The following is a 24,943-nucleotide window of genomic DNA, read 5'->3' as shown; positions in this document are numbered from 1 at the left end:
TTATAAAACCTGAAAAATTTGACCCTAAAATCTCCCTAGAACTGAGAGGGCTATGCAGAGGTTGCCTGGGATGAAGGTTCATTACACTATGATTCCCAGGTTAGGATGAGGGTTGAGGGGATGAAGACATTTTAGGCAGATAAGTGGCCAGGAGTTTAGCAGATTTCATCACTTTATTTGGGCCAATGCAGTGAATTATTGAAAATAATAGTGGATGAGACTTTATGTCATCTCAGAAAAGGGAGCTAAGAAGCACTGTCCTGTGTACTTTACATCAATCCATCATTTTCTGAGGTGGATTCAGGTATTAGCATTTTATTTATTTACGTATTGAGTTTTGAGAGGAAGACTCACTCTGTTGCCCAGGCTGGAGTGCAGTGGTGTGATCTCAGCTCACTGCAACCTCCACCTCATGAGTTCAAGTGATTCTCCTGCCTCAGCCTCCGGAGTAGCTGGGACTACAGGTGTGTGCCACCATGTCTCGCTGATTTTTTTGTATTTTTCATTACAGATGGGGTTTTGCCATGTTGGCCAGGCTAGTCTCGAACTCCTAACTTCAGGTAATCTACCACGTTGGCCTTCCAAATTGCTGGGATTACAGGGGTGAGCCACTGCATCCGGCCAGGTACTTGCATTTTAGAGTGAAGGACTTTAGTATAATGGTCATGACAAGAACTTTGAAGTCAGACTGCCTACGTACAAATCTTTTCTCCATGTATAGAAGGTAAGGGCCAGGCACGGTGGCTCATGCCTATAATCCCAGCACTTTGGGAGCCCGAGGCAGGTGGATCATGAGGTCAGGCAATCGAGACCATCCTGGTTAACATGGTGAAACCACATCTCTACTAAAAATACAAAAAAATAGCTGGGCTATGCCTGTAGTCCCAGTTACTTGGGAGGCTGAGGCAGGAGGATCACTTGAACCTGGGAAGCGGAGGTCGGAGTGAGCCGAGATGGCGTCATTGCACTCCTGCCTGGGTGACAGAGCGAGACTCTGTCTCAGAAAAAAAAAAGAAGGTCAGATCTAGGAAAAGGGCTCATCTCTGGGTGCCTCAGTTGTCTCATGTGTAAAGTGGGATTTAAAAAGCACCATGAAGTTGTAGTATAGCTGAGATGGATGATATAAGCAAACATTTAGCATAGTGCTTAGCAAAGAATGCTCAGTAAATACCTTATTCCAAATTGAGAAACTGAGCTTCAGAGGACTTCAGCTCCTCATGTGATCATTACTCAGCTAAGGAGGAGAGACTGGGTTTTGAATGCAGATTGATCTGTCTTACAAAAGATTGGGGTTTTCCTACTCTACCGGATGGTTTCCCTGGAAACCCACTGCCAAGCCTTTGTTATGTGCACCGCGGTTTGACATTAGTATGTGTTCTGAGCCTTCTTTTGACGCCTGCATTTTGCTGCAATGAATTTAGGGATTTCCCCCAAGTCATTTTGCATAATCAAGGATGGCCTGGATGTTGTCTCATCAGAGCCACCTGAAGACCATGGACATTTTCTTGGAAACTGAAACTATAGAAACTATATGTTATTGCTTCTAACTTCTTAGTTTTCAAAAGACATTCTTGGACCCGGCTGCAAAGTCCTATAAATTAAATTGAAATCAGCCACATTTATGATAGGGTTGTTACAAAGCTGTAAGTGTTCTGAATTTATGACTCTGCTCACATTCAGCTGTTCACTGCTTCTGCTTCTAGGTCTTTCTATCCTGTGTGGGACAGAATTTATATTTGTGGGTAAGATCATTATAAATCTTTTATGTACCGCAAGTGCAATTTCAAATGTTTGCAAGCATGCAGAACTAGGTCCATGAGATATCTGCTATATTTCATGGATTACGGCTTTGTCTCAGTAGTGGGGGAAAAAATATCCCTCAAACCCAAACCCAAACATTGAACTTTGTAACTGGCCACTAACTCTCACTGAAGAGGAAATAATTGTTGGTGAAGCTAAACTTCGACTCTGTGGATGTTGCTTTAAAATTCTCTTCTTTTTCATGTTTTAAAAAATAAGTCCCATGAATGACCATCTTTCCAAATGTCCCTTCCAGCCTTCTAGCTGAGTTCAGTGAGAAAGGAACAATTTGTCTGCATCAGAATTTCATGTGTACTTTTGCAGCAATCAGCATTGAAAGTGAGGACACAACTGAGCAGCTGGCTGGCTCTTTCCTCATTATTTTTTGGAAAGTTGACCCTGAACTTTTGTGTCATCGAAGTCAAACTGCCAAAGAAAATGTAGATATCTGGGGAAGTCTTTAAAAAAAATTATTGTGAAAATGAAACGGTTTTTGTATCTTTTGCAAACGGACAGCTGGAGACCCGGTGCAGCCACACTGGGGACTCTGGTTTTCCTGTCTCTGTGAGCTTTAGGGCGGCAGGGTGAGGCATCATGGCTATTCTGACAAGAAACTGGGAATCAAACACACCACTTGAGTGATGCAACCAAATTAAAAGGGAAAAGAGAATATAATGAAGTATCATTAAAAGCAAATAATGAGATAGATTTTAATATGCACAAACATTTTTTGCTGACTTGGTGCTTTGGAGCACGAGGCTGTCGATTTTGCTGTGTTGTCAGTAGGAAATGATTCCCAAATTAATCCAGGCAACAGAATCATCTGGAGGAACTTTAAAAAAATACACATTTAGGGCCCCATCTCAGACCCACATCAGAATTGCCGTGGTCACAGCTCATGTCTCTGTTTTAAGGAGATCTGTAGACTGGTTTGGGAAACTGGAGCATAGTTTTATGGTCACACTTTCTCTGTATCTTTTTGAAAATATGTGCAGATTACTTTGGAGTTACCCTTTTATAGGGGAGAATTCTAGAGTAAGTTGTGCTTTAGGGATTCTCACCTCCCTTCTATACATAGAAAATTGAACCCCAGAAAGGTTTGCTACTTGGTCTAGGTTGCACAGCTGCTGGAGGCAGTCAGGATTTGAACCCAGGCCTTCAGTTGCCCCACCCAGGGATCTTTCAGTCCTGCTCTGTGATTTCTGTGATTTCTTAGTCCTGCTCTGAAGCAGCCCAGTGGACTATAGTGAATGCAGACAAGCCCTGCAGGTTATCGAAAATTTTTCAGTTTTCTAGGGAAACACAGTGCTACTCAACATCTGTCAGGCAGTGTGTGGACTACTAGTTGAGATGGTTCAGTCTCAACAGTGGGTCCTGCTGTATTCCTTTTAATAACATACCTTTGCAAAGCTGGATTTTTGGAAGTGGCTTAGATAAAAAGTCCCTATTGTGGAAAAATCAGTATGAAACTGGAAATGAGAGTAGCAATGTCCACTCTGAGTCCAGGGATTGAGAAGTTGTGTGGGGCCCTAAGGATATATACAGCTATTAGTAAATAACTATTTTAGAATGAAATAAAAATGGCCTCTTTTCTTTCAATTTGTGTCTTATTTTTCAAATGGCTTCTAGCTTCCTAGGACATACACGCTTATAACCGAAGAAGTACTTAATAAGGGGAACCATTAGAAATTTCTTTTGGCACAAGGGCACTGTGAACAAATTACAGAGATGCTAGGGCACTTTGAGCAAAGAAAGTTTGAGAACTGGGTCATGCTGCCTTCCACTGCACACACTGAATTTTTACTTGGGCATTCCAAAGCTTTGGCTTCATTGGTTTAAAAAAACTAACAAACAGATGACATCTTCTCTTCTCTTGGTATCATTGGCCTCACCATTTATTTCATGTCGCTTAATTGCAGGCAAATCTATTTATGAATGTTTCAGATGACAGTAGTTTTTGTGACAGCAGCAAAACTCCTGAAAATGAGTTTCTCCTGAAATGAGGCTGTATTCAGAGTTCTTGGAGGAGGAGCAGGTTGCTGAGAGCACGAATGAATAGAGGGCAGTTCATCTAGCCAAAATATCTGCCCTACTGCCTGTTGGTCTACCATTATAACCCCATTCCTATGCGTTCTGCTGATAGTAGGGTCTTCAAGAAACTCCACAGAAATGCAGAGGTTTCTTGGCAGCCAAATCTTGGTAAGCTTTAGTTGTTACTAAAGAGTCAGACTGGAGGAAGAGGATGCAGTTTACCTGATTCTGGAGGTAGAAAATTCCAGGAGGGTGTGGGGCTCAAGGGTTGTCCCCCTAAAGGTTTGCAGAAAAATCACTACCATGAGGCAGATTAACAGGAGAAAAAGCGTACACATTTATGTCACATGTATACACGGGAAACTTCAGAATGAAGCCCCAAGCCCAGATGAGGTACAGAAGCTTCCTGAGGTTGCAAAAAGAATGTGGACTCAGAGCATGGCCCCAAACAGGTTATGGTGGTAAATTAGGATTTAGTGGAAAGACAGATTGTGAGAAGGAAAAGGAAGACGCCTGGGTGGCAAAGGTGACCTTAGTATGTAGACAAAGCCTCTCAGGTAGTAGCCCTCAGAGAGAGTAGATGCTGCTTCTTTTCAGGCTTTTAAAGGTGACAGACTCTCAGTTTTTCTCCTAGATCCAGGAAAGACCTAGAAAGAGAAGGCCTGGCTACATCACTGGAGATTCTCTACAGATGCAAGTTTCCCCCACCTCAGTCTGCCTGCCCTGCAGCAGCCATTTCAAAGTATGGGATAAAATGGTTTGATTTCCTTCAAGGAAAACTCAAATGGAAAGATGGACAGCCTGCTTATGGAGCAGTTCTACCTATGAGTGGTTGGCTTTGTCATAGGGAAGTAGCCACATACAAGGGCCATAAAGCTGAAATAGCCACATGCAAGTGTTTGAAGGGGAAAAGCAATTGTCCTCATGGAGAGCTCTGATTCTGGAGCTAATTCAGATTTTGCCAAACGATTCGTTACACTTTTTAGTTATCTTGTTTAATAGATAAAAACAACTTTTTCCACTTACTGTTTTTACCTTTCTTGAAGCCTTTTTTTTTTTTTTTCCTGGTCTCATTTAGTTTTTGCCACAACCCTTGGGAAGTAGGAGGTCAGGGTTATCCTTCCTGATCTTAACAGACAGGGACCAGAGCGGGTAGATGACTTGAGCTGATTAAGGAGGAAAAGCAACAGGACCTTAGACTTGGTCCCTTAGTCCAGTGCTCTTTCCTCTGCCACCTCTTTATGGGTGTAAGAAAATGTTAAAGATGAGTGTGATTATGAACTTAAAAGATAAACAAACACTGATTCTGGGCTCTAACGAAGCTAGGGGCCATCGCCCAATGCTGCAGTCACAGTCAGGGCCCTTGGTTCAGCCCTCATGCTCCTCTAACGCCCGTTACCTTTTTTCCTGTTTTTTGTTTTGTTGTTTGTTTTGGGACAGGGTCTCACTCTCTCTCTCAGGTTGGAGTGCAGTGCACGATCTCTGCTCACTGCAACTTTCATCCTCCTTGCTCAAGCCATCTTCCCGCCTCAGCCTCCCGAGCAGATAGGACTATAGGCAAACATCACCAGGCCTGGCTAATTTTAAAATTTTTTGTAGAGATGACATCTCACTATATTGCCCAGGCTAGTCTCAAACTCCTGGGCTCAAGTAATCCACTCACCTCAGTCTCCGAAAGTGCTGGGATTACAGGCATGAGCCACTGCACCCTGCCCTTCCCCATTACTTTGACTATTGCTATTTATTTATCACCTATTGTGTACCAAGCATATTGCATCTTCCCTTTTAGGTTCCTTAAATATAATCTTAAAATGTGATCATTGGCACAGAATTCAGCTTTCTGAGTTACTACATTTCCCAAAACATGAGGTTGAAAGGGACTTTCTTCACAGAGGCAGGCAGTGTGTCTGTCTGTCTGTCAGAGCTATATGGGCTCTCCCAGCTCCACAAGGTCCTCCCCATTTATGTGCCCTACAGGTGTAAAATCAAAGGAGGGGCAAAATTGTTTTGTTGTAGGAGAGACGAGCACATGAAGGAAATGTCTGCACAACTGGAGTGCCGGGAGAACAATAAAGCCAATCCCATAGAGAGGAAGCACACAGGGTGTCTCCATGTCTCCAATGGAATAAATCATCTGCAAGGGCTGTGGTTAATGTTCGGTCTGAACGAGGACCACACAGCTGGGACACTCTGTACTTTTGATCTGGCCTTTCAAGCTTGGGTGATGCCAGGAAATTGCATTTAATGGACTGAATGAAAGCTGCCGTATAGAAAACGAGAAGAGATTATTATAAAAACAATAGAGACCATTTCACCGCCCTCACTGCCTCACACCTGTTTTTTGCGTGGGGTCCATGAATCTGGGCTTTGGCAGGGAGACTGGGACTCCGGGGCCACAAGGCCACAGCCTGGTCAGCTTGTGGTTAGAGACTTTCTCTGCACTGTACTGGCTGTGTCAGAGAAGCACGACGTATGTGCCTGCATTGTCTTCACTGGGCAAGTCATTTCAGTTGCAGGAAGCCATGCACCTGCACTTCTTTGCCTTGAAAATAACTAATCTGCGGAGAGTGATCAGTCAGCCTTGTCAGAGCTCAGTCGTTTGGCTTTATGCTCATGGCCGCACCTGACCCTTGGGCACTGTGGGTGTATAAATAGCCTCAGAAATGGTGCTGCTCTCAAGCCCTGTCTTGCAGGACTTTACCTGTAAAGGAAAGCTTTACCTTTTCATGACAGGACTTGAGAGCTTATTTCAATAAAAGAAGAGGGAGAGAAAACCATCCTACATCCCCTGAACATGGAAACATTTCAACCCTGATGACCACTGGTTCCCACAGTGGTCAGAGGGACCTGAGGAAGAGTTTCCTTCCTTCCTCTCAGTGTGGAGCTGACACCAGGGTGGAATTTCCATAGAACTTACAGCACTGGGGGCAGGTGCAAAAGCAGAAGGGTGTAGAAACAGCTGCTTTGACTGGAGAGAGGAGAAATGCTTGTTAGCTTCCTATTTCCATATGACTGTGTGTCATCAGGGCTGACATGTTTCCGGGACAGAAATTCCCTCTTGTGAGAGAAGTATTGACATGAAATAGTTCCCCAGGATTGGGGCGAGTGTGCTGATGATAATAACACAGAGGTGATTTGTTGACACCATATGCAGTGCGTTGGTGCCCAGCTGTGTTTGATCCTCAAGGAATTCTTTGACATAGAGAAAGCAAGTGTCAATGTCATGTCCCATTATTCAGAGGGCAACGCCGAGTCTTAGAGTATTACAAAGCAGGTCAAAGAAAGGTGGATTTGGAGTTGAAGGGCAACCAGTTGATAGCTGCACAGAGGCTAAGTTACATGACCAAGGTCCTTATCTGGTAGAGACAATTGACTTTTGGCATCTGTGAGTTCTGCACAGAGTACTACCTATGGGTATTTAAATCTTCAGATGAAGGTGTACTTGATTACTCGCTCAGCTTCATAATTTACCCTTCTTTAAAAATTCCTGGGCAAATAGCCACTACTATAAAAAGTCCCCCAGCCTACTCTGGATTACAATTTCTGATGAAGATCTTTTTCCCTTTCATGTGCTTGGCCAGATATGTTTGGGGTAAACGTTATGAAGGTATTTACTGATTGGGCCCTGCTATTTTAGGGCATACGGAAAGGGAATGAGCCTTTTTCCCTTCATCATATTCTACTGGCATATAGTATATAAAAATTGAAAAGCTACATTAAGAAGGCACCATTGGCTGGGCGCAGTGGCTCACGCCTGTAATCCTAGAATTTTGGGAGACCGAGGCGGGCGGATCATCAGAGGTCAGGAGTTCAAGACCAGCCTGATCAACATGGTGAAACCCTGTCTCTACTAAAAATACAAAAATTAGATGGGCATGGTGGCACATGCCTGTAGTCCCAGCTACTCGGGAGGCTGAGGCAGGAGAATCGCTTGAACCCGGGAGGTGAAGGTTGCAGTGAGCTGAGATTGCACCACTGCACTCCAGCCTGGGTGACAGAATGAGACTCCATCTCAAAAAAGAAAAGAAAAAGAAGAGGCACTATTGTAGGTACTGAAAAATGATTCAACAACACATCAGGCCTGGTCTTGGCCCTTGCTATAGAATTAATATGGAAACAGTTTGGGTGTGAAAAGTATCTTAGACTGATGGACTCTGTCATTTTCCCTTCTGGGCATCAGTTCCCATTTATGCATCTATGAAGGTAAGAGCAGCTGCCAACTCCCAGTGGTTTCACACTTTAAAAGTAGATAGGATGCCTATTTGTACAAAGGCCAGTTGGGTGTTCTTATTGCTCTCCAGACTTCCACATGGTCATTCAGTAATCGAGCTGGTAGATGAAGAAAGAATTGAAGAATCTGTTCACATTTCATTGGCTGCAATGAGTAACATGGCCATACTTAATTGCACATCAGGCTGGTGAATACATACTAGTTTTGGCCAGGAAGAAGGGGAAACAGATTCAATGAACAATTAGTCAGTTTCTACTACTTCACTTTTGAAAATGAGGGGTTGGAATAGACCTTTTAAGTACCCTTTTAGATCTGAATTCAACTACTGCAAGATTCTAAGATTTCTGCCCTTCATAGCCTAATGACTTTGTGTGAGCTGATCTGTATATGGCATCACAAAGATGAAGTATATTCTCAGCAATATAAAAAATGAACAGTACTAGAATGGTGAAACTGGACAAAAATGCTTCTATCAAAATTGTTTAGTGAGCCCATACACATCAATGATCAATAAAATATTTTAAAGGGATTAAAAAAACCCAGGCAGCCATAGTGAAATAATGGGGCCCAAACTTACTATTCTGCTCTAAACAAGTAGAAAATTGAATCAACTCTATGAAACAACTGTTGTCAGACCCTGGAGTATAGACTGCAGGTAACGGAAACAAATGAGGTGAACCAACAGCCATGGATTCCCGCCTGGAAGCACTTTCTCAACCTCAGTGTAGGGAGAGGATTCCAGGCAGAGAATGGTGGTGTTGCTGAGCTGAGAAGACAGAGACCAGGGCTCAAGGTGGTGGAGATGCTGGAACTGGTGGGACAGGGTACTAGAAGGAGCCATGCAGGGAAAGAGTGCCAGAGATCTGTGCTGGTTTTCTCTTGGTTCCCTTGCTGATCACTAAAGTGAACATGCAGAGGATGAAATTCCATGATGCCAGGCAAGAAGGACAGGGAAGATGTAAAGTCTGTGATTCCTAGAGCTGGCATAGGTCTGGGAGATGTTCAGATTCTATCTAGCCAAAGTCAGTAGGCCTCACTGAATGCTTGGGGCATTCAGAGATACCAAATGCGTCATGCCTCAGTAGTAGGTCATAGCTAGCCCTAGAATAAGTGCACTTGAAAAGAACGTGTATTTTTAGTTGTTGGGTGTAGTGTTCTATGCATGCTAATTACATCACATGTTTTTGTATTGTTCATATTTCCAGTGTCTCTACTGATATTTATGGCTGCTTGTTTCATCAGTTACTGGGGTGTGTTTCACGGTCTTTAACTGTGATTGTGAATTCATTTATTTTGCCTTTAGTTCTACCAATTCTTAAATTTATATATTTTGAGGTTATATTATTATGTGTGTTCACATTTAGGGTTGTTATGTCTTCTCGTTGGATTGATCCTGTTGTCATAATGAAATGTACCCTTTGGTATTTCTGTGATTAGAATAGCTTTTTTAAAATTAATGTTTACATGGTATATTTTTTTCCATTTGTTTATTTGAAACTTTCTGTTTTTTTATACTTACGTATGTTTCTTATAAGCAGCATATAGTTGGATTGTGCTTTTTGTAAATTCAGGCTGATGATCTTTGTCTTTCACTTATGGTATGTAGTGTTTTTATACTTGATAAAATTATTGATTATTTGACTTGAAATCTATTATCTTGTTAAATGGATTTCTGTGGCATTTGAGTCAAAACTATGTTTAGGTATATTTAGTAAAGCGTTTAGTTTACCCTAATCAATGTAGTAGAATCATCCTTTTAAAGAAGAATTATTCATTTTAATTTGTGAAACGGAATATGCTATTATTAGATGGCATTTTATCCCTGATGATTGACAGGTGATTATACTCTCACATAAATATATACCCCTTTGCATTGAAGCCTGTTGTTTGACTCTGTCCAATGCCTGCTCCTATCCCATGGAGTCTGCCAGTCTACTCTAGGCGGGGTGGGGTTCCTTCTCTTCTGTCTCTGCCCTCACATCTCTTCAATTATTGCATCTCATTACCTCTTGGCAGAGATCATGTCCTATCACTCATATCTCAGTCCCTGATACAGAGATGGTTCTTCACAATTTTTGCTGAATAAATGATTCATGCAGGGCAAGTTTTAGATTGACTCCAATGTCATGTGCTTTGACAGAAAGAGTATTAAAGATCTGCTAAGGTGAGGAGAGGCCTTAGAAGGTCTAAGACGATCCTGAATTTCTCATTCTTCAAAGGATTCTTAAGAAATTTGGGTTAAGCCAGGGATTGGACTGTTCTCTTTTGTTGACTCAAGTTCATAGATGAGGTCAAGAATCAAATCAGTCTCTTCTTTGGTAATGATAGACAATTAGTTTGGGAAAGACTTTTTTCATGAGTCTTACCCATCATTTATCAATTTTAAAGTCTATGAGTAGCTTTGAATACAAAACTGCATGTGAAAATCATTGTGTCTACTATTGAATAATTGACTAATCTGTCACTCACAGCTCCTGAATGAGGTTCCTGTCTAATTGCACCTGCCAGTTACTGATTGCACCTGCAATTAGGCAATTGTGGGGGCAGTTTTTGTGTTTCTGTTTAATTGCCTGGGCCAAAACGGAGAGTACCTTTTACAAATCTGGCCTATTATCTCATTGTGAGCCTTTGCAAATACAAGGTGACCCCAGGAAGAGATGGAGAAAATATATAGTTTTATTTGCTGCACACCAATTAATGTCAGTAATCTAGTGCCAACATTCCTATACTTTTCTGGTTTAGTAAGAAATTTACATATATTGGAATCCATCAATATCCCAGAATATAATTTATACTTCAATTTGCTACTATTTTATTATGACACACATATCAAAAGTAGTTCTAATTCCTAAAAAGTTTCTATATACATTATACTTGTTAAAGAACTTTTCAAGTGGTTACTGAGGTTCTGTTGTTCATGAGGAAGAACATAAGACCCCTTTTGTTGTTGCCTTTTTGGTCTTATTTACTGTCTGGCAGATGCAGAGATGTGCTGTTCAGATTCCCTTTAAAAAATGGACTTGCTGGCTAGGCACGGTGGCTCACACCTATAATCTCAGTACTTTGGAAGACCTAGATGGGAGGATTGCTTCAGCCCAGGAGTTTAGGACCAGAATGGGCAACACAGTGAGATAGCTAAATTTTAAAATTAGCTGGGCATGGTGGCTTACACTTGTAGTCCCAGCTACTTAGGAGGCTGAGGTGGGAGGATTACTTGAGCCCTGGAAGTTGAGGCTGCAGTGAGCTATGATTGCGCCATTATACTCTAGCCTGGTGACAGAGCAAGATCTCAAATTAAAAAAAAAGAAAGAAAGAAAGAAAAAGAAAGAAAGAGAAAGAAAAGGACCTGCTTCCTGAGGCGTAGAGTGTGGCTAACTCATAGTCTCCAGCTGCAGCTGCTTGGAGGTTTGCCTCAGCTTTGCTGAGTCATGCTGTTCTCAGGGCGGCCCTACCGGTTGCCCCTGCAAAGTTGTGGTAACAAGAAAGAACCGACTCTGCCCCACATGGGACTTCTCAAAGACAACCTTAGCCTTGGATCTCCCTGGCAGAGACTTTGTTTCATCATTTGTCGTTGCTCTCTGCCAGCTACCCTGCCCAATCCTGCGTCCTCCCTTTTCTTGCTTAATAGGTGTCGGTCTCTAACAAAGCGAATCGACTCTCAACCTCCATCTGGGCATCTGCTTCCTGGAGAATCCAATCTGCAACCACCATCAAGTAAAGATAAATTAGGAATAGCTCAGAGGATGTTTATTTTATTGAATTATTTCAGACCCAAGGCTTCTCTCCAAAAACTGTTTTCAAGGAAATCTATTTTTCTGTGAGATTATATAAGAACTGCCTCTTTTCTATTTCTTTGTTTTCATTCTTTTTTCTCACCACCAATATCAAGGGATACCATGTGTAAAATGATTTAAAGAATGCATGTTAGTTTAGAATCTAAATTTCAAAGGATTTAAGTTTCTACTTCAGTAATAATTATTACTATTTATAGGGATTAACTCTTCCACACATTTCTAAGTGAAATAAAAGTTAGCTCTAAAGAAGTACTACAAGTTGGAAGAGACATTTTACCTTTACGTTATCACATCATCAAAGCAATGTGGCTTTCATTTTATAAATCTTATTAAGTTTGCTTGCCTTTTCATATTAGCATTTATTACGATGCTGGATAATGTTACTTGGCGAAACTTGTACTTTCTGTCTGCCAAAATCTACATTACAAGATCTACATAAGCACCATTGTACGTAGTGTTTTCACACTCCCAAGAAATATTAATGTTTGGGACTTGAGAATAAGAAGCTGGAATTCCTGAGAATTCTAGGGAATCCCTGAAATTGTAAGTTAGTCTTTATTTTTTAGTAATATTTTATATAAATATTTTAAATTAATTATAAGTGATCATACTAATAAATAGTAAATCATTTTTAATAGTGCTATGATAAAACTTTCAGAAACTTTCTGCAAACAAAATATATGATAGCAAATGCATGGTTTATTATGATTATGAAGTGATGTATTGCTGACAAGATGAAATATTTTCATAACTGCAAGAGTGATCTCTTTTTGATAGAACCATTCCATAATAGAAAACATTAAGAGAACTTTAACACAAAATATACGCCAAATAAAAATTATTTAAAAGTGGAAAGATATTATCAAAATATTAAATATCTAAAAGTTGCCATTCTTAAAAATAACATTTTAAAACACTCAAAACATCAGTTGCCATGTGCAATAGTTTTGATCCATGTTTTGTAACAAATACCTAAGATGCACACAGTTTTTTTCTATTTCATGTCGAGTTGGTCGAATTATAAATGTGCCTCCAAAAGCACCCTCAATTTGATTATTAGGGGGCATGTTGCTTGTCTCCTATTTTAACAGTGAAAATAGTTTGTCTACTGGTCCTCATTTTGGTTTTGCCTTCGAAAGCCATCTTACTTTTGCTAATCTGAATTTCATATCAATTTCTGATTTCATGTAGAAGTATTCCACATTGATGTCTTATCTTTGCATTTCTCCTATTAAAGTATTCACAAAGAACTGTAGCCTCTAGTAAATATTCAAACATTGGAAAATGCTAAGGAATATCTTGGGGTATTATTCCAATAATGTAACACTTGGATCTCCCAGCATTTTTAACAGAACTACACAGAATCATGTCAGTGTTGCCAAGTTAAGGATTTATTTTGCTTCCAAAATTTGTTATTTCTTAGAACACCAGTCATCGGATTTGTGTAAAGTGTACTCTGTGTATAAAGGTATTCATATTTATTTTGTTTGTAACAATGACACACCATTTGCAGCAGACAGGGCCAGAACTCACTCTTATAGTAACAGCTATGAGCAAAACCAACTGATTACATTACCTTGCTTCTCAGTTCTTTGCCCCCACCTGATTTCCAGAAAGTTTGACCCTAATGTTGGACTCTACATAAGACATTTTCTGCTCTTGTTTTTTAACTTGAATCAGTGGCTTCCTCTGAACAAATAATGTCTTGATTGCTAACTCTATTTCTTGTAGGAACATTATGATAGTTCCTCCAGCTTTCCTGTTTTCACAACTTATTTTTCTTAGGACTTGGGATTCAGAAATACATACATTCCCTGAGAAAAGCAGGAAAGGAATCCTGCATAGAAACATCGATGGCTATCTTTCATTGAGTAATGGAGTTTGTTGGGAATTCCAGCAGGAGAAGAAGACTGGGTTTTTCTCCCTTGATACTCTGCAATGATGGGAAAGTGCTCCTGCAAAAATCGGAAGTATTTACCAACAGGGGAAATGGTGTCTCTGCACCTCTTTGCATCTCAGTTGGGCTTGTGGCAATCACAATTAATGCTACCTTATGATGTCAAAGCAACTAAGATTAAAATTCTTGTTCTTTTTTGGTCAACCAAACTAATTAAAAAACAATCAAAAGGGTTGAGCTAGAAAGGGGAGTGGGATGATTAACAAACTGACAGTATCAAGGAGAATTGCTCTGACAAAGGAAGCATTCAGCAGAAACTCTTGTCAATGCTGTAGAGAAGAGAGGAAGAATTTGGCAATTTGGTGAGATGGGATGGCAAGGACTGTTAGGGGAGGCTCAAACCCTAGGCATTTGCCCTTTCACGGTCCAAGCTTTTCCTGAACCAACACAGTGTCCTCCCAGCACAAGAGGAAAAAGGAAGATGATGAGTGAGTCCACACTGAAAACTACTTCCTGAGGTGAGAGCTGCAAGGTACGGAACACTCTTCATCCAAGGCATGGCTCACTTAACCTCATCCCACACAAACAAGAGCCTGCCAGGCAAGTCCCTCCTGAAGGGTTGAGAAAATATTTTCCTTTGATATAACATACATGTGTCAATAAAAGAAAAGGCAACTTCTTCTGAGCTCCACGGACATTGTCTTATTGTAGTTCAAGTGCGACCTCATAGTCACGTGCTTGCCTACCAGGCAGACCCTCCAGAAAGGTTCTGATTGCCAACATGTGTGTGCACGGATTTTATATGTTAGGAAATTGAATTTTTGAAACCCAGTATCTCAAAAGATACTGAGGAAAATGTTGTCTCCGTGAGTTGGATGAATGGCGCTCTGGAACGGATATATTCTTTTTTCTACTTGGGTCTTGGAGCTTTTCCTCATCATTCTGAAACCAAATGTCATTGGAATTTTCTGGTAGGTAAATGTATTTTTGCACATTTAGATCTCATCCTACAGTCGCGCATTTATAAAATCAACATGTATATATGAGGTAAGGCTGATATTCATTTTAAAGTGGTTTGTTGGCCCATTAATATGAAGTTATTTGAGTCAATACACTGTAATTATGAGTCACATACATGGGTTGGTAGAGTATATATTAGACAGTTGATTAAATTACCCCAAATATAACAGGCTAATTTGCCATATACTGTATTATAGTGATGCAGTATTGGAGGTGATGATATGTTTGTGAACATGTAGAAAGCACATTTTTTGCTTGCAACTAGTAATTTACTGCTCACTCAAATGCCATAAATACTGGTTTTAGCAAGGGAAAAATCATGGACTTTATCTCTGGTCTAAACTGTGACTTGAATTTTAGACCAGAAGGCATTTTTCTATCTTTGCGAATTATAGTCTAACCGGTTACTTTCATGAGTCCACCCAGGCTGTAACTTTCCTGAGCAACAGGGCGAGGAGAACTGGACCCTGGTTCTGGCTCTGGGATGACTTTGCCCTGTGGCTTTGAGCCCAGCACTTGGCCTTCCTGGGCCTCTGCTTCATCTGCTGGTGTTCAGATGATCTCCGTGTTCCTTCCAATTCATCAATTTTGCAGTTCTCTCATCTGAATTCTATCTTGGAGCAAACATCTCATTCCCTAGAAGATAAGCTTCTGTGATCCCAAGCCTCACCCCGCATAATGTTTAAGATGCGACAAGAGGAAAGGAGGCTAACTGCAAATAAGCCACACCAGCCCGGCCCAGGGTCATTTTGTATCTGAGGCACATTCATATAAATTATCTAACCAGACATTTACAAGCGTGTTTTCCAAACAACCTGTAACACACTGGGTAGCTCGCTTTGCACCGTTGTTTTTCCCAGTTCATGGGAATACTAATAAACACAGAAGCCCCTGGAACAGACACCTGCAGGGGCTTCCTCTTAGCCTTGGCTGTTTCCTGAGGCAGAAGAGCAGGGGCTAGTTTCTTGGCAGGAGTGGAGTGTCTCCTGCCCTTTCCTATCCTGGCCTCCAGAGAATGGTGTTCTCTGCAACGTGGTGTGAGCCAGGCCTGGGAGGGGCAGCTGGCCTGGACTGTGGATGCTGTCGACCTCTGGGGTCCAAAGAGGAAGACTCGAAATAGAACACATGCTTTATTCCAAAAGTCCATTTGTTTTGTGCCAAACCAGTTAAAAGTGGATTTTTAAAACAGATTATCTCTGACATATGATAGTTTCTCTCTAAGTGATTATATAGAACCACTAATCCATCCATCTGTTCATTTATTTGACAAATATTTATTGAGCACCTGCTAATGTCAGGTCCTCTGCTCAGTGATAGCCACAGAGGTTAAGAAGGGAGGGCCAGCCCCTGCTGCAAGGGTTAATTTCACGTGTCAGCATGACTGGGCCATCTCACCCAGATGCTTGGCCAAATACCAGTCCAGATGCTGCTGTGAAGGTATTTTTAGATAAGATTAACATTTAGATCAGTAGACTTTGAGGAAAACAGATGACCCTCCGCAGTGTGGGTGGGCCTCATCCAATCAGTTGAAGACTTTAAAAGAAAAAAAAAAACCTTGAGGTCTTCAGAGGAAGGGGGAATTCTGCCCCCAGAAGGCCTTTAGACTCAAGGTGTGACGTCAGCACTTCCCTGGGCCTGTCTTGCAGATCCTACCAGCCTCCAAATCACATGAGCCAATTCCTTAAAACCTCTCTCTCTCTCTCTTTTCTTTCCCCTCTCTCTCCCTCCCATCCTATTTGCCCTGCTTTTCTGGGGAACTAATACACCTGCCCTCACAGAGCTTACCATCCGGAGAGGGAACAGAGAACTGAAGGCAGGCGTAGCAGGGATGGCGGGGTTTAGACACTCACACAGGTGTCACACAGTGACACCTCCGAAAAACGAGCAGAAATTGGCCACGCCCCACAGAGGGGAGCAGTTTCCAGTCTGAGGGAATAACACGGGGAAGATCTGGAAGACCAAGGAGACCCGGGTGTCCAGCAAAGCAAGAAGCAGAGGAGGGAGGAGCGAGCAGCTCTGGAATCCCGAGCTCGAGCCCGCACTCCCTGGGTTTCTCCCTTTGAATGTGCGCCTGGGCTTCTGAGGGTTATAAATAACTGATCCCTCTCAATAATAATGAAAACCACTGTACTAATAACAATAGCTCCTGTTAACGGAACAAATGACCCTCTATGAAGCTGTTCTAGGGGCTTTATAAGCATTGCCTCATTTAATCCTAGAAGTGTAGGGAGTCGTCTCTTTTTAATGAGTGAGGAAACAGGTCTAGCGAGGTAAAGTGACCTCTCCAAGCCAGTAGCTGGGTGAGCTGAGGTAAGAATGCAGGGGGTCTCTCCGGCTGCAGAGCTGGGGCTTTGATGGACAGGTGCACGTTGCTGCTCTGTTTCTTCCGCTGCTGTTTCTGTGCTGAGTGGTGCCAGCCCTGTTGCCACAGAGCACCTGAGGTCCTACCCCTCTGTTACATCCATTTTCTCATCTGATTCTTGCAAGGACCCCAGCAAGTAGGAGGGACTGCTGGTATCATTCCCCATCTCACAAGTGAAGAAACTGAGGCCCAGAGAACGGAACGTGGCGGGTGCCAGGTCCCAGGGCGGATGCTCACTGCGCCTGCGCCGGCTGTGTTTCCCACCCCCACCCAGGCTGCCGCAGTACCTACCAAACCTTACGTGTGCGTTGAGATCAGAAAATGGGCAATTTTCTCAGCTCCTCAGGCTCCAAGGTGCTGGCAACACGTGAAGGAGGTCAAATTGCCACCAGTGGGACGAACACACTTTTCACAGTTCTGTCTCTTCCAGCCTGCTGAGGATGTGGCTGCCAGGTCTGTTTTGGGGCATTTTCTTCCCTCTCGCTGTGCAGTTTCCCTCATTGTGGGTTCAGCTCCATCATCCTTCTGGTGCCGTCCCTGCTGGTCCCTCCCTCTGGTCTTCCCTTCATATCAGCTTTTCTTAGTTGGAAGTCCCCTTTGACACAACGCTCATGTGGTTTGATGCTTTAAAAAGTCTCAGCTCTGGTGAGTTTCTTCTCCCTCCAAGAAGCCTTCAGGGCTTTTCGAGGGCTCCCCAGAGTCTAGCTCAGAGCCTGGCACACAGAGGGAGGTGGAGTTTGTGTTTGTGGATTTAATGTGATTAACATGATTGAAAACATGGGTCGGTCACATTTGGAAATGCCCCAGTCTCCTAATAGTGTTTCAAAGGGAGGCGGACAGGGAGGCCCTTGGGGCCTGGTAAAGTATCCCAGTGGAATCCTTCCAGGCCCCTGCTGTGCATGTCCCCGATTCTTGTCCAAAGCACAATAGGGATTTTAGTGGGTGTGATAACGGCCCTGTGATTCAGAGGCTCAGCTTGAACACAAGCAGTTTCCTCTATTCAATTCCCCACCAGGGAGGTTTCCTGGTGAGAACATGGAGTTTGTTTGATAACACCCATCTTGATTTAGTACTTTTTTATTTAAACCCTGTGCAGGGAGCCTGAGCTCACAACTCCTGTCTTCTGAAAAGACTGCTGAAGCGCACCTGGATTTCTTTTGCAGCATTTGTAGAAAGGGGCCTAGCCACGGTCATTGCTACGTGGAATTGTGCACTAGGGTAGGAAAGAAGGACTCATTGGTGTGCTTTGATGGCTGTGCATGGAGGAAACGAGAGCTGGCGTCTGGTCACTACTGTGGACCTAGATGCGTCCCTTGCAATTTATACATTGAAGTCCCAGCCCCCAACATGGCTGTGTTTGGAGATAGGGCCTGTAGGAGGTAATAAAGGTTAAATGAAGAGTTAGGGGTAGGACCTTCATCCTCCAGGACTGGTGTTCTCATAAGAAGAAGAGACGCCGGGGTTCTCTTTCCATGCATGCACAGGGGAAAGGCCATGTGGGGCCACAGGGAGAAGGTGGCTGTCTATAAGACAAGGTGTCAGACCTCACCAGAAACCAAACCTGATCAGGGACTTCCAGCCTTCAGAATGGTGGCAAAATAAATTTCTATTGTTGAAGCCACCCATTTGTGGTATTTTGTTATGGCAGCCAGGACAAACAAACATGGTCGGTAATCATTGTTCTTGGGACAGTTGGACAGAACTTGTGAAACTAGAGGAGCAGTGAGAAAAGAAAGAAGCCATCAGTGTCACTGGCCTGTGTATTTGTGGCAGCCCTGAGACCCTGGGATTCTCATCCTGGAGGTTGTAGAACAGGGGATTGGTAATCTGGAGATGGTCCGTGAACTCTCAGGCCAGGCCTTCACGAGAGACGGGGAGATGGAGGCACAGGGCGCGTGGACGAGGCTCCAGGCAGCCCTGGGCACTACCTGCCAGGGCCAGCTCCTTCCACTGCCCCCATGAAGGGCCAGCCCTTAAGTCATTGTTTGGCCTCTAATGAGCCAACTCTGAGTGCAGATTCAGAAAACCATCTGTAGCTTCAGACCTCAATGACCTGAAGCCACACGGAAAGGAGAAATAGTGATTCTACAGCTCACGTTTGTCAGGCTTTTAGCTCACATTTACAGAGTGCTTTAGAATGTACTGAATGCCTTTCTTACACACTATCCATTTAGCCCTCCCAGAATCCTCTGTAGCTAGATAGGGGTGGACGATGCAGTCACTCAGGTCTGTCCTACTCCCAAGGACATTGCCACTCACATTGCCCCATATTGCCTCCCACTTGGCACTAGGCTTTGTTAGACACACTCTCCTCTCCTATGAGGCCAAATCCTCATGTCTCAGTGAAACATTCTAACCTGTCCTTCCTGCACATCGGTCACTGGCTGCTTCCATCGGCCCTGGAGTTTAGTTCAGGTACTCCTGCGGACTTTCCTGCATTATCTGTTGTGCCTCAGGGACCAGGTGGGAAGGTGCTTCTGGAGCCACAGTGCTGAGCCAGGTGCCTTTTCCCTCAGGGAGCTAAAAGGGCCCGCATAGCGCAGTGGGAAATGGATTCCAACTGCTGGGAAGCTGGGAGCTTCTCAGGGAAGAGGCAGCGCAGGAATTGGTCTTTGATGAATAGCAGAATCTGAACAGCAATGGAGGAGAGACCAGAAGGTGAGAGTCCAGGAGGGGCACAGTGTGGGCTGTGCACAGAGGGCAAGGGACCCCATGGGGCCCTGACTTGCTTGCTCTTCTTGGGTTGGTTCATGGGGTGAAGGGCTTGGGGCCTGGGCTCTCCTGTTGAACTGCAAAGAGGTTGAGCAGCATGGCAGTACTACAGGCCCTTCGCCCCTCCAGCCCCCTCCAGTCATGCTCTCCTCTCTGCCCAAAGTCCCTCTCTCCTGCTCATTCTGTTTCAATTTTTTTTGTTTGTTTTTTTTGTTTTTGTTTTTTTTTTAATTTTAGTTTTATTTTGTTTTTAGAGACAGGGTCTTGCTCTCTTCCAGGCTGGAGTGCAGTGACATGATCATAGCTCATTGCAGCCTTGACTTCCATGGGCTTAAGGAATCCTCCTGTCTCAGCCTCTAGAGTAGCTGCAACCTCAGGTGTGTAGCAGTAAACTTGGCAACTTTTCTTGGGGGGGGGGTACAGACAGGGTCTTTTTATGTTGCCCAGGCTGGTCTCAAACTCCTGGCCTTGAGCGATCCTCCCACCTTGGCCTCCCAAAGCGTAAGCCACCATGCCTGCTCTCTGTTTCAATCTTAATCCCAAAGCCTGGTCCATCCTCTGTAGCCAGGAGCTCTTCTCTGCACCTCCAAGTTGGGATAAATAAATGCCACTGCTCTGCACTCACCTCCACTGAGCACTTCCCACACTTCTGATGTGGCAAATGCCAATTAGATAGTCAGGGCACACGGGCCAAACAAGCTCAGCTGAACAGAACCTGTTTAGGTAGACTGGGTATAAACAGCACCTTGAAGGAACTGTAATTCTGGCAGCTTATGGGTACTGAATCCCAAAATGGATTTAAGGGCAACAGCAGCCCATGAAACAGTTGGGGTGAATGAATGAAACACAGCAAAGCAAATCGCCCCTTGGCATTAGTGTGACAGAACCGAGTGCACATTTGGGTTCTTTTGCTTATTAACAAGAAGACTGTGAGAAACTTCTTTTTGTAGCCTTAGTTTTTTTTACTTCATGGAATTCTTGGGTGTACAGTGCCCGGCCACAGCTCCCTAAATGGATCTATTCCTACACGGATGGGCTGCTGTCTGTTTCTGCAGTGCCAGGATGCCTTCTTTCTGGCGCCTCCAGACGGTGACCTAAACCAGCCTGTGAACTGTGCTCAGTTATGTGGGGAACGTCCTGGAGCCAGTTATGTCTGGTGCACCGGCTGCTGGCCCAACTGTGATGAGGTTAAATATAACATCGATGACTTCACGGGAGCCTGCTGGAGCGGCTGTGCCTCCTGGCACGGCGCCTCCTCTGCCCACTGTCCTGTCCACTGGGCACAGAGCGGCCGGCCAGCGGGTGCAGCTCCTCATCTGCAGAGCCTCTAAAGGACCTTCCTGCTCTGAGATGTCGGGATTCCCCCAGAGGCTAACGGGAGAAGGCAGACATCAGAGCTGTGGTTGCCGTTTCTTCCCTTATTTCAGACCCAAGTGTGTGGGCATCACGTCACATATGTTCCAAAGAGTGGTGTGGGCCTTCTGTGAGGGTTAGAAATGGCCCGGTCCAGGGCAGTTCTGGAGCTTGGGTATGGTGGTGGATGGCAGGGCTGGAACCAGAACCGGGTTTCCGGCCTCCTGGTCCTGTGCTGGGCAAGGCACAGTGCCAGGGCAATCCCACCTTGATGGCACCATTACTCATCCCTAGAGTTCACAACACCAGCTCAGGGCCTCGTCATGGTTGCTGCCAGCATTCCGTGCCAGGAGGAGGGACATGGAATAGGCTCATGGGCAACTTCCTTCCTGGGAGACAGTTTTTTGAACAAGCTGAGCTGACCGGGAAGAGTCCCCCGTGTGGTTCTTGGGGCTGAAATAAGTAAAATAATCCCCACCACTAGCCCCAGGAAAAATAAACAAACAAACAGACAAACAGGCAAAATACCCATTACAAAATCTAAAACCCTTCTTTCTTGAAAACGATACTCCTGCTATTGCTGTTCAAGGACCACCTGCGTGCCCCTTGGGGCCCACTGAGCACCTGCCTTCATTCTCTCCTTCATTTACGGACTCGGTCCACCCACACAGCTCACAAACCCAGGTCATCTAGGGCCCTGGATGATGGAGTCCACAGAATAAACCCCACATTCTCCTAGTTGCCACCACTCACCACACCCTCCCGTCCTTATCTTTATTCGACTCAAGAGACCAGCAGTTATCGGGCAAGGTGCAGAGGTTGGTACCGTTGGCTTTTGGGCTTCTGTAATGTGCTAGTCTGGGTTCTGCAATTAGAGTCTAACTTCCGAGAGGGTGGAGACTTCTTTCTGTAACCACATCCCACAGCATCCTGATGAAGAGGGATTTTATGAAGTCTTTATTTAATGTTTTAATAATTATTATATAATAAACAAGAAACTTAAAAAAATTAAAAAAACAGTTGTGCTGTATACGTGATGCAAAGTTTTACCTGAGGAAAAGAAGCTTTATTTCTAGTGAGGAAAATAGTGTAATAGTCACAGCTACCATTTCATGTGACACACTCGTGACCTCTAATAATCTCGACAATCCTGCAAGATATGGATGATTATCCCATTTTAAAGATGAGGAATCTGAATTTCACACAGAGTAGCAAATACAGTGAGTTGTTGCATGTCTTCAGATTCCAAAGCCTGTGCTCTTTCCCTGAAGCCGTGCTACTTATTATTTTGTTCTTTGTGTTCATCCACATTTAGATTTAATGTAGAAGATCAATGCACATGTAATTTTGGTGCATACAGAAGCACAGATAGAAAAGCTAGATCTTATTCTCATGGGAAGGACACACACTCAGGAAGGGTGGTTAGCAAGTCAAGAGAGTAAATGACAAGCACTAAATGAGAAGGACAGAGAATGTGTGTTGTATAGAATCGTTGTGTTGAATTTTTTTTTTTTTTTTTTTGAGAGAGGATCTCACTTTGTTGCCCAGACTGGTTTTGAACTCTTGGCCTCAATCGATCCTCCCACCTCAGTCCCCCAAAGTGCTTGGATTACAGGTGTGAACCACCACGCCTGGCATCTGTGCTCCTCTCTAAAACTAGTGGTGCAGCTAGAAACGGGTGCCAGGAATGTTTGCCAGAACTGGATTTTCACGTTCCCTCTCTCTTGCAGGCAATTTTGACCTAGTGATCTTATAGTTTTATCTCAGAAATATGGCTATTATAATTTGCCCCACCCCATTCAGCTTGATTGTTTCAATTTTAGCTAATAGAACAAATCATTTTGAGAGAACTGATCTATACAGCTCTTGCTTTGGGAGTGGTGGGGTGCAGACGCTTGACCCAGGCCGAGCCAAGCCAGCATAATGAGAGACAACACCCATTAGATTTGCTGCTTTTCCTGAACTCTGATTCTAACAAAAAGGCAGGATAACATTAATGATTAGGGCATCCACTTTCACTAAATGAAATAGCCTCCCTAAGAGTTCTACTCATCAAAATCTTGGGAGTCAGAGGTCACACACCTGCACATCCTAATGAGATTCATTAACGCCAGGAGACCAAGGCAGTTTGCAAAGGGACGTTATTGTGGCTATTCTCTCCCTTGACAAAGGGGTGGCTTTGTCAATTTGCCTTCCTTCTGTCCATGCCTATCATTAAAATAGAAGTGGGGGCAGGGGCTGGAGGGAGAAACCCTCCACTAACTGCTTCCTGGAACTTGAAGAGGCTCAGCTGTTCCATGGACAAAAATGAATTCAGCACGTGGCACATGGCTGGATGGATATTCCTCACGACTTGGAGAGACTGCCAATTCAAGCGGAGTCTGCATCCTTCTAGAGGCACAGAACACTCAGGGAATGGTGGTGGCTGTTCTGACAGCATGTTCCTCTTTAGTGTGAAGCCTTCGTGTGAGTCTTTGAGAAGAGTGCACGCTCCCCACAGCTGGTGTGAGTGTGCTTCAGACATTGCTCTCCACCCATGAGGACGCATGGGACCCACTAGGGCATGTGACTGTGACCACATCACACACGGCCAAAGAATGTAAGCCATTGGAACAAGCTGGGTAGTTCGCAGGCAAGGAGTATATGGTTTGTGTCTGTCTGTGTTGAGGCTGTGACAGCACACCTCCATCTACCCAGCACTGTTAGAAAGTGTTCAGCCAAAGCCACCTATCCTGTCTTTGTGGATCTGATTGAGTTTGCCAAGTTAATATGGGAATGTCCTGACGTTACTGTGTATGGGATTCCCATAATATCAAAGATTTTCAGTTCAAGGGATGGCAGTGGAGTGGAGCAAACAGACAACACTGTTACTCACACTTTTTGTTTAAAAAGCTTTCAGGAGCTATTAGTCTTTTGACTGCTATTGTTTTTCTCTCCTATTTGTTTCTTTTTGTAATAAAAAAATCTTAAAAGTAATATATGCTCATGGCATATATTACTGTGAAAAGTTCGGAAAAACTATGAAAAAATCCAAGAAAAAGTTATTTATGATCCCACCGTCAAGAAAGGAACAACCATAATGAATGTTTTGGTTTATTTATTTCTAGTCTCTTGAAGAGAGTTGACTAAGCTGTGTATGTGTGAGTGTGTGTAAATCATTTTTACTATGGGTACAATTGTATTACTGATTTAATTTTGAGTCCTGTTTTTGAGTAAGGCTTCCAATATTATTAAACAACTTTGCTAACATATTTTTTTTCTGGTTTAAAACATATTTTTTTTTTCTGGCTTAAAATACCACTTTCCCTGCCACATGTTTATTTTGAGAGGAATTAAAAAACAAACCTACCTACCTTGATGGAAGCTTTAGTTCGAATGTAAACTAGCAAACTAGCATAGTTATTTTAAAGCAACTTTTTTTTTTTGGCCTAGGGAGAGGCTATTTGTTTTTGCTTACATGACATAAAATGTGTTATCCTTTGTAGCTTTTTTTGGCAGGGGAGCAGGGAGATGCAAGATTGTGAAATCCTAGTTTTATTTCATTTGATGAGCCTTGTGGATGAAATTTTTAAATCAGTCTATTTTTTTTGGATAAATGCATTCCTCTTTCCCAAATCTAAACTTTATTTGAATTTCTCAGTGGAACTCTCCTCATCATTTTCTGTTCTTCATCAAACTGTTTTCTTTTTTTAAAAAAGTGATCTTTGTGGAACATAAATTTCCTTTATCATTTAACATGTCTA

The 24,943-nt window shown here is 43.3% G+C and overlaps 1 long non-coding RNA gene across 2 annotated transcripts in view, besides 1 other annotated feature; it reads left to right on the top strand.

Annotated features, from left to right (window-relative positions):
* Nucleotides 1-24,943, top strand: part of LINC00299 (long intergenic non-protein coding RNA 299) — a 320,649-nt gene that overhangs the window by 87,156 nt on the left and 208,550 nt on the right. The window lies entirely within an intron of this gene.
* Nucleotides 11,216-11,395: an enhancer, noted in NCBI's record as "active region_15252". NCBI's record gives its function as "activates an Ori minimal core promoter by ATAC-STARR-seq in GM12878 lymphoblastoid cells {active_cell/tissue: GM12878}" and the evidence as "EXISTENCE:reporter gene assay evidence [ECO:0000049][PMID:35858748]".

Source organism: Homo sapiens, chromosome 2 (genome assembly GCF_000001405.40).
Source record: "Homo sapiens chromosome 2, GRCh38.p14 Primary Assembly".
Classification (NCBI taxonomy): domain Eukaryota; kingdom Metazoa; phylum Chordata; class Mammalia; order Primates; family Hominidae; genus Homo; species Homo sapiens.
The sequence above is the reverse complement of the archived record's forward strand: the minus strand, read 5'-3'. Positions and strand labels throughout refer to the sequence as shown.